General features: G+C 44.3%; 1 long non-coding RNA gene and 1 pseudogene across 1 annotated transcript in view, besides 2 other annotated features; one reads left to right on the top strand and one right to left on the bottom strand.

The window, feature by feature from the left end:
* LINC01951 (long intergenic non-protein coding RNA 1951) overlaps positions 1-5,024 on the top strand; it is a 76,650-nt gene extending 71,626 nt beyond the window's left edge. Inside the window, exon 3 of the long non-coding RNA NR_046113.1 lies at positions 4,381-5,024. This is a non-coding gene — a long non-coding RNA (long intergenic non-protein coding RNA 1951). The remainder of the gene's footprint in view (positions 1-4,380) is intronic.
* Positions 107-1,042, bottom strand: NIFKP2 (NIFK pseudogene 2; annotated as a pseudogene).
* Positions 5,401-6,140: an enhancer, noted in NCBI's record as "H3K4me1 hESC enhancer chr5:174344969-174345708 (GRCh37/hg19 assembly coordinates)". NCBI's record gives its function as "activates a minimal SCP1, AML or CMV promoter by ChIP-STARR-seq in naive H9 embryonic stem cells {active_cell/tissue: H9 hESC(naive)}" and the evidence as "EXISTENCE:reporter gene assay evidence [ECO:0000049][PMID:30033119]".
* Positions 6,141-6,880: an enhancer, noted in NCBI's record as "H3K4me1 hESC enhancer chr5:174344229-174344968 (GRCh37/hg19 assembly coordinates)". NCBI's record gives its function as "activates a minimal SCP1, AML or CMV promoter by ChIP-STARR-seq in naive H9 embryonic stem cells {active_cell/tissue: H9 hESC(naive)}" and the evidence as "EXISTENCE:reporter gene assay evidence [ECO:0000049][PMID:30033119]".

Below are 13,201 nucleotides of genomic sequence, written 5' to 3'. Positions count from 1 at the left end.
GCTTCCTCAACTTCCTGGGCTCAGGTGATCCTCCCATTTCAGCCTCCCGAGTAGCTGGGTCTACAGGCATGAGCCACCATGCCCAGCTAATTTTTTTGTATTTTTCCTTATCAAAATATTATATTTTTCAGAAGAAATCTTATATATAATACGTTGAAAATCACTGATTGCTTTTCCTTCGTCTTTTTTTCTGTGAATGTATAGGTGTTTGAGTCTCTTGTATTTCTTCTTTTACACAGGATATGGGCTGTTTGAAAACTATTTCATTTTCCTCGTCATCATCATTCATTTCAGACACTCACATTTTCATCTCCCCAAAAATGTTGATGTACAAACCGGTGTGGGGCCCTGGGTATCCACAGTCTTTTCAGGAGTGTCAGGAGTGCCTAAAACCTTTTTCTTCTTAAGTAAAACCTGGCCTTTTGTAGACGTCCGAAAATTTGATTTTGAAGTACTTTCCATTTTCTGTAAAATCAAAGAAGGAAAATCATAATTCTATTTTAAGCTAATTTCTTCTGGAGTAATCTTTCTTTCTTTTTAAATGGCCCCTCCATCCGCAGCTTTTGCGAAATGCCGATTCTGATTATACCGTCTCACTGATGGATATGATGGCTGTTTAAATGGAATATTACGGTCTTTAAAGATTTCTTTCTGTACTTTTTCAGGTGGCATAAAATGACACTCCAACAAACAGGTAGTTGTTCATTGTTTCAGCAACTATCTCGGCAACAGACTCAGACTCAAACTCCACAAATGCATAGCCTTTGCTATTTCCAGTCCTTTTATTTCGGGATAGTCTGAACCTTGTAACGGTGCCACCTTGGGAGAAATAGGAAAGGATCCCGGTTTCGTTAAGTAGGTTAGGTAGGTGGCGCACACAGACTACTCCAGAAGTAAGTTGTTTTTTTCCACAGAGTTGTGCGCTTGCGAACCTGCGCCCCCTCCTTCTGAAACCCGGGATCTTCCTGCGGGTTCAGCAACAGGATTGGCCCAGCCGGGCCGGAAAAGGCCGCCATGCCAAAAGCGGCGACACCAAGTCCACGCTGCGCTCCCGGAAACGCCCCCTTTTTTGTATTTTTAATACAAACAAGGTTTCACCATGTTGCCCAGGCTGGTCTAGATAACTCCTGGACTCAAGCGATCTGCCTGCTCTGGACTTCCAAAGTGCTGGGATTATAGGTGTGAGCCACCGCACCCAGCTTTGACTTTGAAATATGTTGTACATCCAGTCAGCAGTAAACTCTGGGGAACACCAAAGATGAGGAGAAAGAGAGAAGAGCTACCTCCAATTAAAGGAGTTAAGAAGAGATGCTTGAACTTATTTATTTTTTTTAAGACAGTCTTGCTCCGTCGCCCAGGCTGGAGTGCGGTGGCGCCATCTCGGCTCACTGCAAGCTCCGCCTCCCGGGTTCACGCCATTCTCCTGCCTCAGCCTCCCGAGTAGCCAGGATTACAGGCGCCCGCCACCACGCCCGGCTGGCTAATTTTTTGTGTTTTTAGTAGAGACGGGGTTTCAATGTGTGTTGGCCAGGATGGTCTCCATCTCCTGACCTCGTGATCCGCCTGCCTCAGCCTCCCAAAGTGCTAGGATTACAGGCCTGAGCCACCACGCCCGGCCTCAACTTGTGTTTTAAAAAGTCACTGCAGGCTGGGCACAGTGGCTCATGCCTGTAGTCACAGCACTTTGGGAGGCCGAAGTGGGTGAACCTCTTGAGCCTAGAAGTTTGAGACCAGCCTGGGCAACATGGCAAAACCCCATTTGTACAAAAGATACGATGAATTAGCCGGGCACAATGGCACCTGTGGTCCCAGTTACTCGGGAGGCTGAGGTGGGAGGTCGAGGCTGCAGTGAGCTGAGATCCACCACTCCACTCCAGCCTAGGCGACAGAGTGAGACTTTGTCTTTAAAAAGAAAGAAAGAAAAAAAAAATCACTGTTTTGGGGTTTTCTGGATGAAACCTCTGTTTCCATTAAAAAAAAAAAAAGAGGGGAGACAGTATGTATTATTGATTCAAAATCATAACCAGATGCTCAGAGTAAGTAATTGTATCCATTATTTCAAAAACTAACCTCAGGATTATTAAAAGTTAGTTTTATTGGATTTTTTTAAGCTGTGCTGATTCACTCAGGCCTGTCACTTCCAAGCCCACGTTTTACTACATTGTAACCCTATTGGGAAGGAAAACTGCAACTAAGATTATGATCCATCCTGAGATGAAAAGTTTCACACATATACACCACACATACCCCCACCACAGTATGATGGCACAGTGACCCAACCTTAAGCAAAAGGGTACCACTGCTAGCAAACGCATTTTTTTCTTTATTTCTTCTAATTTGTTTTCCTTTATTTCTCTAAAAGCAGCAAATGTATTTAACATTTTATTGAGATTCTCAGCCGCTGCCATTTGGTTTGTATAGAAAATTGTTTACAAAGTAACTTTTTTCCATTTTTGATATTTTAATGAGAATTATGTTCTTCAGTTTTAAAGCCCTGTCCTCTTCCAAAGAAAGATTAATTGCTAACTACCAGGTAATGATTATTTAGGAAAATAACAAAAGCAAAAACAGCTTTTAAACACTTGTGAAATAGGGGTAAGGGTCCAAAGTCAAGACCTTCTGGGCCCAATGGAGGTGCTGGGCTGCCTCGGGACACGATCAGCACTTCCCCATCCACAACATCCTCAACAGCTGGGAGCCCTGCGCGGACCCCGGGAGGCTTCCTGTTCCACAAGCTCCGCTCTCTTTTTCCTCTCTACCCTTGCTATTGGGCCTCCCCTCCAAATCTGCCTAACAAAGGCAGCAGGATCTTTAATACTGTTCAGCTTTGTCAATGGAGACAGGATACTCCAGAAAGTTGAGAGGTTCCCTGGTCCAGCCTGGGGGAGGAAAAAATATGCAATGTAGCATGGATGGTTTCACTTTCTTGTCCACTCAGACACATGCTCATACTTATTAAATGATGTATCAGATGCTTCAAAAGTCCAGACGTGTAGTTGTACAAAAGTTGCTTGTAAAAAAGAAGTTGCAAAATGATAAAAAAATTTCTGCAGCATTTCAGGCTCCTGATGACAAAGCTGGTTCTGATAAGTAGTTATTTTGACAAGCACAGCAGCTTCCGCTATAAGTCCTGTGTTCAGAGGGTTTCATTTAGGCCACAGGAAGTTGGAATCCAGGTTTAAAAGACTCTGCTGATAAAATGTGGTATATACATCAATGGGCTTCTACTCAGTAATGAAAGGAGCAAACTACCAAAACATTTTATATATCATGGACCAACCTCAAAAACATTAGCTAAGTAAAAAAGCCAGACACGAGACCGCATATTGTATAATTCCATTGATTTCAAATGTCCAAGAAAGGCAAATTTATAGAGACAGAAATGGGCTGATTTACCTCAAGAGGCAGGGATTCAAGCTCTCTAGACTACATGTGATATATACATGAGAAAAAAAAAAAAGGAAAAGAAAAGAAATTTAAATATAAATAAATGAAAATAATACTGCTCCCAGATTATAAAGAAAATCACATTCTTTTTATAATAATTTGGAAGATAAAATATACAGAAAAATCTTTGACACTCAAAACATTCTGGTTTGTTGTTTTTTATACTTTTTTATGCATATAAACATTTTTAAAAGTAGAATCACAATTCATAGTCTTTTGTCACTTATGATGTTTTGGGCATATTTCTATGGTGGTAAATATATCCTTGGCATCATCATGATAATAGCTGGATGTATATTAAGTTAATCATTGCCACCCCAGAGGTAAATTTTCTTATATGTACATTTTAATTCACTCAAGCAAGCATTTTTGGACTGAATTCATAGAAGTAGAATTTCTGGAGGAAAATAACATAAAACAATTTTAGGGTTTTTAATAGACATTTTCAAATTATCCTGCAGGAAAATTGGTTCAGTTTATACTCCCACCAACAAGGACAGAGCTCCAGTTTCCCCCTTCCATTTGTCCTCCTTGCTGGTCTTTAAGCAGAAAATCTCACTGTTTTCATTACATTTCTTTGGTTTTAGTACTTTTGAACCTTTTTAATATGCTTATTGGCCATTTTTCTTCTTGTGGGAAGTGCCTGTTTCTCTATTGCCTATTTTCTGACCAAGCTCTAAAGTTACATTTCACTTAATTTTTATCCTGCTGATTGAAAGCATTTTAACTTAGTGATTTTAATGTAAACTGGAGCAGGGCAGACTGTAATTATCTAGATCTTGCTCTGTCACCCAGGCTGGAGTGCAGTGGCATGATCATAGCTACCACTGCCTGGAACTCCTGAGCTCAAGCGATTTTCCTACCTCAGCCTCCCAAGTAGCTAGGACTACAGTGTGTGCCACCATCCCAACTAATTTTTAAATTTTTTTGTAGAGATGTGAATTCGCTATGCTGCCTAGGCTGGTCTTGAACTCCTGACTTCAAGTAATCCTCCCACCTTCGCTTGCCAAAGTGCTGGGATTATAGGCGTGAACTACTGCTCCCAGCTGAGAGCTCACTTTTGTTTGCTAGTGGTGTTCTTAGTATCTTTTCATATTTGAGGTTTTGGTGGTAGTGCTGAAGTATTGTACTCACCATCCAAGGTTTACAGGACTTTTGTTTTACTATGGAACAGATGGAATTGTTTAGTTCTGCATCTTTGCAAATATACAAAATGTGCCTACCAGGACTCTGCTTTATATCCATTGAAAGCAAGAAGTAATACAGTAAAACTTTGCCTGGCTAGAGGCTTTGAAAGAATGGACTATTCTGATTTAATTGTATTAACTTGGAAGTATGAAGGTGAAAAAAATTAAAAACTTAAATTTCCTGTTGAATGCAATTTGAAAATATAGCCATTGATTCCACTTTTATTCTCCAGTAAGTCTGGACATTCTGATATACCTGGTGTTTTATTATAGAACTCCTAGTGTGCCTGAAGATCATTTTCTACAACTTTAAGTGTAAGAGGATGTAAATGGTATTGTATGAGATCAGGCTGGATGAGAACTGATACTTGTAAATACACTTTTTAGACTAAATCTCTGATTGTCACTTGTTTTCTTATTTAACTCATAAAAATAAAACACATTGGGTTGAGGGTGGGAGTAGGAAGGAGACTTATGTCTTTCAATTGCATGTCATTGTTTCATATCAAGACAGAACATACAGTATCCCTGGCTTAGGACCAACAGAAGGAAACACATTTTGCTATCTGCTGTATGCCAGAGGTCCTTGGACACCTGGAAGGATTACTGCAGTACAGATTGCTAAGCCCTACCCCGGAATTTCTGATTCATGAGGTCCAGGGTGGGGCCTGAGAATTTGCACTTATAAAAAATTCTCAGGTACTGCTGATGCTGCTAGTCCAGAGACTACATCTTTGAGTACCACTCTTGTCTACTAACTGTAAATTGTAGAACTCTAGAAAAAAGCTTAGTTTGGTCTGGGATAAGAAGCACACAGGTTATGGAGCAAATCATGAACGATTCAACCCTTGATCCCAGGCTACTTTGGAATTCAGGTAACAAGCAATACACACAGAAGGGGCACAAGTTTTCAGCAACGGTCACCCCTGGATGTGTCAGCTTACCACTACAACAGACTAAGTCACAGATGAAGGGGGCTGGCTTTGGGACTGGGGGAGCCACTGTCAAGTCACAGGACACCTGCCCAGGCAGGCTTGGAAAGGGAGGAGGGATCTGTTTAGAGGTCAAGGGGTGCCTGGGGCTCTCAGGACAGGATGGACTTGCCTGACCCGATCGGCTGGCAGTTGGAGAGAAAGCAGAGAGAAAACACGAGTGAGAAAAGCAAGCAGAGAGCTGGTGAGGCAAGCGCAGAGCAAGGGCGTGCTGTGCCTGCTGCAGCAGCTGTGGGAGGGCCAGCGGGGACAGGGTGCAGGTGCGGGTGTGGCAAGGTTCCTGGAAAAGAGGGGCTGGAAGGGAAAGGGGAGGAAGGTGGAGGGAGGAACCGGAGCCTCACAGGTAGTGTTTGGGGGCTGTGGCCGCCCTCCCCACCCCACACACCCTGGCGTCTCCCACGGCACCCAGGCAGTGCACCCATAGTTCAGACCAATGCTCAGCCCCCTCGGGCTTCCCTCTTCTCTGGTCACCCTGTCTTCCAACCCACTGGCCCAGGGCCACCTCTCACCTTGGGGAGCCCCAAGCAACAGCCACCAGGCCTGATAGAGAAGGAACACTGCTTGAATCAGGATGGTGAAGCCAAAAGGGATAGATGGCTGGAATGAGCGCCAGAGGCCCCTCGGGGGGCTCTGAAAGCCCAGGACCCTCTGAAGGGATCCTGGGGGAGGCAGAGAGGGCAGGCAGCCAGATGCCACTGGCCATAGACTTATAAGTCTAAGAGGGGAGCCTCAGCTGGTTGGGGGGCTGCAGGTTGCACAGGGCAGGCCGGGCCCTTCCTGCTGGGAAAAGCAGAAGAGGGAGAGTCCATGGCAGAGGAGGCAGGCAGGCTGGCTAGGCGGAGCTCAGCTGGGCCAGCAGGCACTGTGGTCCCCTTGGCTGAATAGCATAGGCGACCCCTAGGAGCAACAGGCCAAGGTGCATGAGCCTGCTGGCTGGCGGTAGTGTTTTAGCGGGGGTAGGGACCCCGCCTTGAGTCACATACTTCACACACTAGTACTGTCAGGCTACTGTCAATGTTCACTTAGGGCCCAAGGGCTCTTAAGTCACTTGTGGTGAAAGCTTCCAGGCCTGGGACTCAACTTCAGGGCACTTGGCTCCCCTCTGGCCCAGGGCAGGTCCAGCAATGCTGTCTAAGAGCCAAGGCCTAGAATCAGTGACCACAAGAGCCCATTTGGTGCTGTACCCCATTGTGGCCAAGAGGTACCTAAGCTGCAAGACAAAGTCCCTTTTACCTTTCCCTCTGCTTTTCTCAAGCAGAAGAAGTCTCTCACCACAGCCACCATAGCTGGAATGTGCTGGGTGTCATCTGACACCAGCATGTCTCAGAGTCTTACTCCAGGCCCATAGCATACTACCTGGGTATCACTGTTGGCTATTCAGGGCCCAAGGGCTCTTGAGTCAGTAAGGTGATGAATCCTGCCAGGACTGGGTTCTTTCCTTTAAGGCAGCAGATTCCCTTCTGGCCCAGGGTGTATCTAGAAATGTAATTCAGGAGCTAGGTCCTGGAATATGGGCCTCTCGACTCTGACTGGTGCTCTATCCTACTGTGGCTGAGCTGGTATCCGAGATGTAAGACAAAGTCCTCTTTACTCTTCCCCCTCCTCTCCTCAAGCAAAAGGAAGAAGTCACTTTTGTTGCCGCAAGCTGCACTGCCTGAGGTTGGGGGAGGGGTGGTGCAAGCACTCCCTTGGCTGCCCAGGCTGGTGTCTCACTAGGTCGTGTGCCCCCTGAGTCCACTGGCTCTGAGCCCAGCATGCCATTAGGACTTGCCTAGGAGTTGAAGTCCTTATGGTCTAGACTGCCTTTCAAGTTTATTTCGGGCCCCAGAGCATAATAGGCTGCCAGGCCAAGGATTGTCAAAACACAAGCCTCAAGCCTTCTAACTACGGGGATGGGTGAGCCCCTCCGGGTAGGGCTGGTCTCAATGCTCCCTCCATGGGCAGGTGTCACATGAGCTCCACCTGGTTTTGCTTTCCGCTGTGATAGGGCAGCACTGGGTTCAACGCAAAGTCCCACAGTTGCTGCATTCTCCCTCCCCCAAGTGCGTAGATTCTCTCTGAGCACCACAGCCGCCCCTGCTGGGGGATGGGGGAGGCGCGACATTGCTGTTTCAAGACTGTCCTTCCCACCCTCTTCAGTGCCTCTTTCTGTGATATGAAGTTAAAGCCAGGTGCTGTGAGTCCTCACCTGATTTTTGGTTCTTATGAGGATGGTTTTCTGGTGTAGACAGTTGTCAAATTTGATTTTCCTGCAGGGAGAATGATTGATAGAGACTACCATTTAGCCATCTTGCTCTGCCCCTCCTCCCTCACTTAATTACCTGCTAAGAGCCCTACTTCCAAATACAATCATATAGGGGGTTAGGGCTCCAACATACGAATTTTGGGGAGACACAATTCAGTCTATAGCATTTGGACTTGGGGAGAGGGAGAAAGAGAACCTTCACAGGAAGGTCACAGTGTAAGCAACAGAATGGAGGTGGGAAAGTTCAGCTCATGAATAGAAAAAATTGATCCAATTTGGTGGGCCCACGGGGAGATGTAGTGGTGTGGTGAGAGTTGGGCCACATCAGAAAGAACCTTGAATGCCAGGCTGAGGTTGGAAACATTTCCTTCTCTGTAGAAGGTGCCATGAGGTGGTGGGGAGGGTAACATGATGAAAAGGATATTTGGGAGGATGGATCTGGCATCAGTGATGGGTAGAGGTAAGGAGTGAACAAAGCTGGAGGCCAGAAAACTGGACACATGGTCCAGAGTTGAGGCTTAGTCTGTTCAAAGGCAGTTTCCACACTGCGTTCCAATGTGGATCAAAGCATGCAGCGGGTAGATGACTTGGAAAAACAAAACCATTCTCTTCCCATTACCAAAAGTTTCCCAGCTGAGTTCATCAACAGAGTCCCACAAATCAGATAGTTGACCAGTCCCAAACCCCTGTCCCTAAAGGCTGTGACCCAGAGGGAGCCCTTGTCCAGCTGTAGCCCGGGAACACTGCAGCCTGAACAGGACTGCACCTGTTCCCTCCCAGGAGCCTACTCTCTGTCTGGCCTGGCTTTGACTTCAAATGTCCTCAACTTTGGCTTCAAAATCTGTTGGGTCAGATTCATGAAAGCTCTGGCCTTCTTTGGTTTAGGGATTTTAAAATAGTTTTTTCAAGCAGGCAGTAGATCAACTCTGCTTAATTACCTCTAAGAACTGGCTACAACTCACAGAAAGCTGTTGTGTTCATAGTTACAGTTTGATTGCACAGAAAGGATACAGATTAAAATCAGCCAGGGGAAGAGAGGCATAGGGCTGAATCCAGGAGGGCACCAGGCATAGGGTGTCCATTATCCCCTCCCTATCCAGTCAGAGGGCATTACCCTCCTGGCTTTGCTATGTGCCAATACACATGGAATATTCCCAGCCAGTGAGGCTCCTCTCAAGCCTCAGTATTCAGGGTTTTTACTGGAACTTCATCATAGAGGCATGCTTGATTGTCCACGCAGCTGCTCTCAGCTTCCGGTCTCCAGTCCTTCCAGGGGTGAACTAAAGCCCGGACTCTAAATCACAAAGTCCATTTTCCTGGCCTGGCTAGTCTCCACCCTAAATCTCATTATTAGACAATCCATCATGACCCAAGATCCGCAGGCAAAGATAGTCCTATCAGGTATTACGTGTTGATGGTTACTTCGCAGGAGTCTAGGAGAAAGGCCAGACCTCTTTTTGGTCAAGGTTAATTTTTTTTTTTTTTTTTTTTTTTTTTTTTTTTACTATACAACATGCCATCGTTCTGTTATTTTTTCTGTTTCATCTTCAAAATAACCCTAATTGGTGGGTAAGGATGTTTATTGTTATAAACAAGATCTCAAAAGGGAAGACACTTGTGCAAGGTTGCACAGTCGATCTTTGACTCACGGTACAAGACTCTTTCCACTGTCTGAGAGTTCTGATTCCTGAGAAGACGGAAACAAGGTGTGTATATGTGTGTGTGCACGTGTGTGTTGGTGTGTGTAAATGTTTATCTAATCAGTATGTGTGGATATATGTATATCTCTCTGTGTGTATACATGTGAATGTCTGTGTGTCTATATGCATGTTTGTGTATGTGTGTGTGCATACAGTGGTACACACCTGTAATGCCAGCTACTCAAGAGGCAGATGGGAAGATCACTTGAACCCAGGAGTTTGAGAGAGAGAAAATTTCAATGATCTTTTTCTTGCAGTTAGAAGGAAAAACCTGGGGCTGGGCATAAAGAGACATAAAGCACACCATAAAGAGCCAGGGAAATATCTAATGAAAACCGAGTGACCAAGAACTGATTAGTTCATCTATAAAGAAATATAGCACTTTAGCAGCAGAATAAAACTGGAAGATAATTTCCTCTAGAACGCTGATAATCTTTGTGAGAAAACTATTGGTCACATACGTTAATTGACAAAACTCACAGGGCCTTGTGCAACAGAACTGGAGAGTAAAACCATCTTTTTTAAACTCGCTATGCTACAAGTGGCATTCAACTCTTTCTCAACCGAGATTTCACAAACCTAACTCCAGCTTCCGGATGGTGAGGGAAAGTGTGATGAGATTTTACAATCAATTGTGCCTGTCTCTGAGCCCATCCTCTCCTACTGAAGAGAAGGAAAATGAAGCTAGCGCTTTACAGCCCTGCCTGACAAAAGTCACAAGATAAGCAAATAATTATTATTTAAAGCCAGAGAGTCCTATAATTTATTCATGAATGCCACACATTCTATATTAGGTCTTCCATTTCAATTTACTTGTATTCTTTGAAGCAAATTTATAAGATTCAAATGATTCAGAAAATGCTCCCAAACGAGTAGAAGAAAACACTTTCACCATATGAAGTACCATGCTACACAATATGGTGTGGTGGTGAAGTCTGCAGGCTCTAAAACCAGAAAACACAGGTTCAAGTCCTGGCTCTACCACCTTGGGAAAGTTACATGGTCTCTCTGTGCCTCAATTTCCCATTCTAAAATGTGGGGATGACAAAAATAGTGTCTATTTCACAGAGTTGTTTTGAGGAAAATAATAAATGTAAAGCTCTTTGGACAGCAGTTTGTGCTGTGTACATGTTTGGTATTGTTATTTTAACATTTCAGATTATAAACACCCACCCTGTTATTCAGATGACAAGCATCCCTAAGCTGATAGCATGATAAGGAGCTTTTGGGCTTCTTAATTTCCATCAGCTTTGTGAGGGAAAAAAGAGCACATGAAGAAGAGCAACTGAAGCAGGTGTGAGAAGGAAACTTGGCTTAAGCTCGAGGGTCTTGGTTTTATTGGGCTTCTGTCTTCTAAAACTTTCCTAAGCTTCATTGATAAGAAGATGTTTACTATCGATCTAGCTAAAAAGGACCAATAGACCCCACAAGACACTGAGTTAGAGATAAAAGTAGAAGGGTAATAAATGCAGTATGGAAAACTACACAACCAGAAAAATAATCAACTACCAGTACCCAAAACATGGCTAAATCTCACAGGATTATGTTGAATGAAAGAAGCCAGCCACAAACAAGCAAATACTGAATGACTTTATTTATATGAAGTTCAAAAACAGGCAAAACTAATCCATGGTGACAGAGGTCAGTACTGTAGTTAACTTTGAAGAGGACAGCAACTGAGAAGGGGCAAGAGGGAGCCCTCTGTGGTGATGGAAACATTCTATATCTTGAGCTGAGTGGTAGTTACATGATTGGGCACATATATAAATAGTATGGAGTTGGCCAGACATGGTGGCTTACACCTGTAATCCCAGCACTTTGGGAGGCCGAGGCAGGTGGATCACTTGAGGTCAGGAGTTTGAGAATAGCCTGGCCAACATGGTGAAACCCCATCTCTACTACAATACAAAAATTAGCTGGGCGTGGTGGCGGGCACCTGTAATCCCAGCTACTCGGGAGGCTGAGGCAGGAGAATCGCTTGAACCCAGGAGGCGGAGGCTGCAGTGAGCCAAGATCATGCCACTGCACTCCATCCTGGGTGACAGAGCGAGACTCTGCCTCAAAAAAAAAAAACAAAACAGCATGGAGTTGTAACTTAAGGTATATGCACCTCACTCTACGTAAGATACTGTCTTAGTCCATTTGTGCTGCTAATAACAAAATATCTGAGACTGGGTAATGGGTAAAAAACACAAATGTATTTCTCACAGTTCTGGTGGCTGGGAAGTCCAAGATCAAGGTGCCAGCAGGTTTGTAGTCTAGTGAGGGCTGCTCTCTGCTTCCAAGATGGCACCTTGAATGCTGAGTCCTCCAGAGGTGAGAAACGCTGTGTCCTAACATGGTGGAAAGGACAGAGAAACAAAAGAAGAAAACCAAGCTAGGTAGGTCCCTCAAGTCCTTTCATAAGGTCACTAATCTCACTCATGAGGGGGGTCTTCCCTCACAACTCAATCATCTCCTAAAGACGCCACCTCTTAATACTATCACATTGGGGCTTAAGTTCCAACATGAATTTTGGAGGAGACGCAATCATTCCAACCATAGCAAATATACTTTACTAAAAAGAAAAAAAAAAGGAAAATCTTGTCTCCAAACATAATATTTTAAGAGTTTATATATTTACAGCCCAATATCTGCTTGCTTACATACATATTTGTGACCATGAGTGTCATTCTTAGCTGAGAAAAGTTTCAGAAAATTAATTTTTTTCTCACATTATCTATTAATAACTTATTCAGATAAAACCAAATTTCTAACCTGGATTTTAGGTTGAGACAGAAACCCATAGTCATTTGTTGCAATGTGAGAATGACAGAGAGAGAGAGGTATTAAGAAAGGTATTAACTAGCAGAATCCAACTATAACAATAAATTTAAGGGCACAATTCTTTACTAATGACTCCCCCAGACAAACCGTTACTTGGATAGCAATGAATGAACTAAAAATGGAAGTGAGGAAAGTTTGCGTCCTTTTTGCAATGGATGGATGTTTATGAGACTATTAAGTGAAGAGGGTTCAGAAACAAGGGGCTAAATAGCATGCTAATTTGGGTTTGAATGGAGCAATGGGATGATCTTGGAAATGTAAGCATCCTGCTTAATGGGACTTGTCTACTTGCAATTCAATAAATCAATACACGTAAATTCAAAGAGACAAAAGACAAAGGAGCACTCAGAACAAAATTACAGCAATAGGGCCTGGCGCAGTGACTCACGCCTGTTATCCCAGCACTTCGGGAGGCTGAGGTGGGCGGATCACATGAGGTCAGGGGTTTCTGACCAGCCTGGCCCAAGTGGTGAAACCCCGTCTCTACTAAAAATACAACAATTAGCCAGGCGCGGTGGTGGGTGCCTATAGTACCAGCTACTTGGGAGGCTGGGGCAGGAGAATCACTTGAACCTGGGAGGCGGAGGTTGCGGTGAGCCGACATAGCGCCACTGCACTCCAGCCTGGGCGACAGAGCGAGACCCCATCTCAAAAAAAAAAAAAAAAAAATTTACAGGAATAAATTTAGCAAAGAGGCACCAAAGTTGACATAAGGGCCACTGTTCCACGTCTGACATTTGTAATTCTTGAGTCATGGGGATGGCGAGCCAAGGAACAGAGTCTTCTGACTAGAAGCTAAAACTA

Source organism: Homo sapiens, chromosome 5 (assembly GCF_000001405.40).
Source record: "Homo sapiens chromosome 5, GRCh38.p14 Primary Assembly".
NCBI classification, from domain to species: domain Eukaryota; kingdom Metazoa; phylum Chordata; class Mammalia; order Primates; family Hominidae; genus Homo; species Homo sapiens.
Note: the sequence above shows the minus strand (reverse complement) of the source record. Positions and strands in the feature narration are given on the sequence as shown.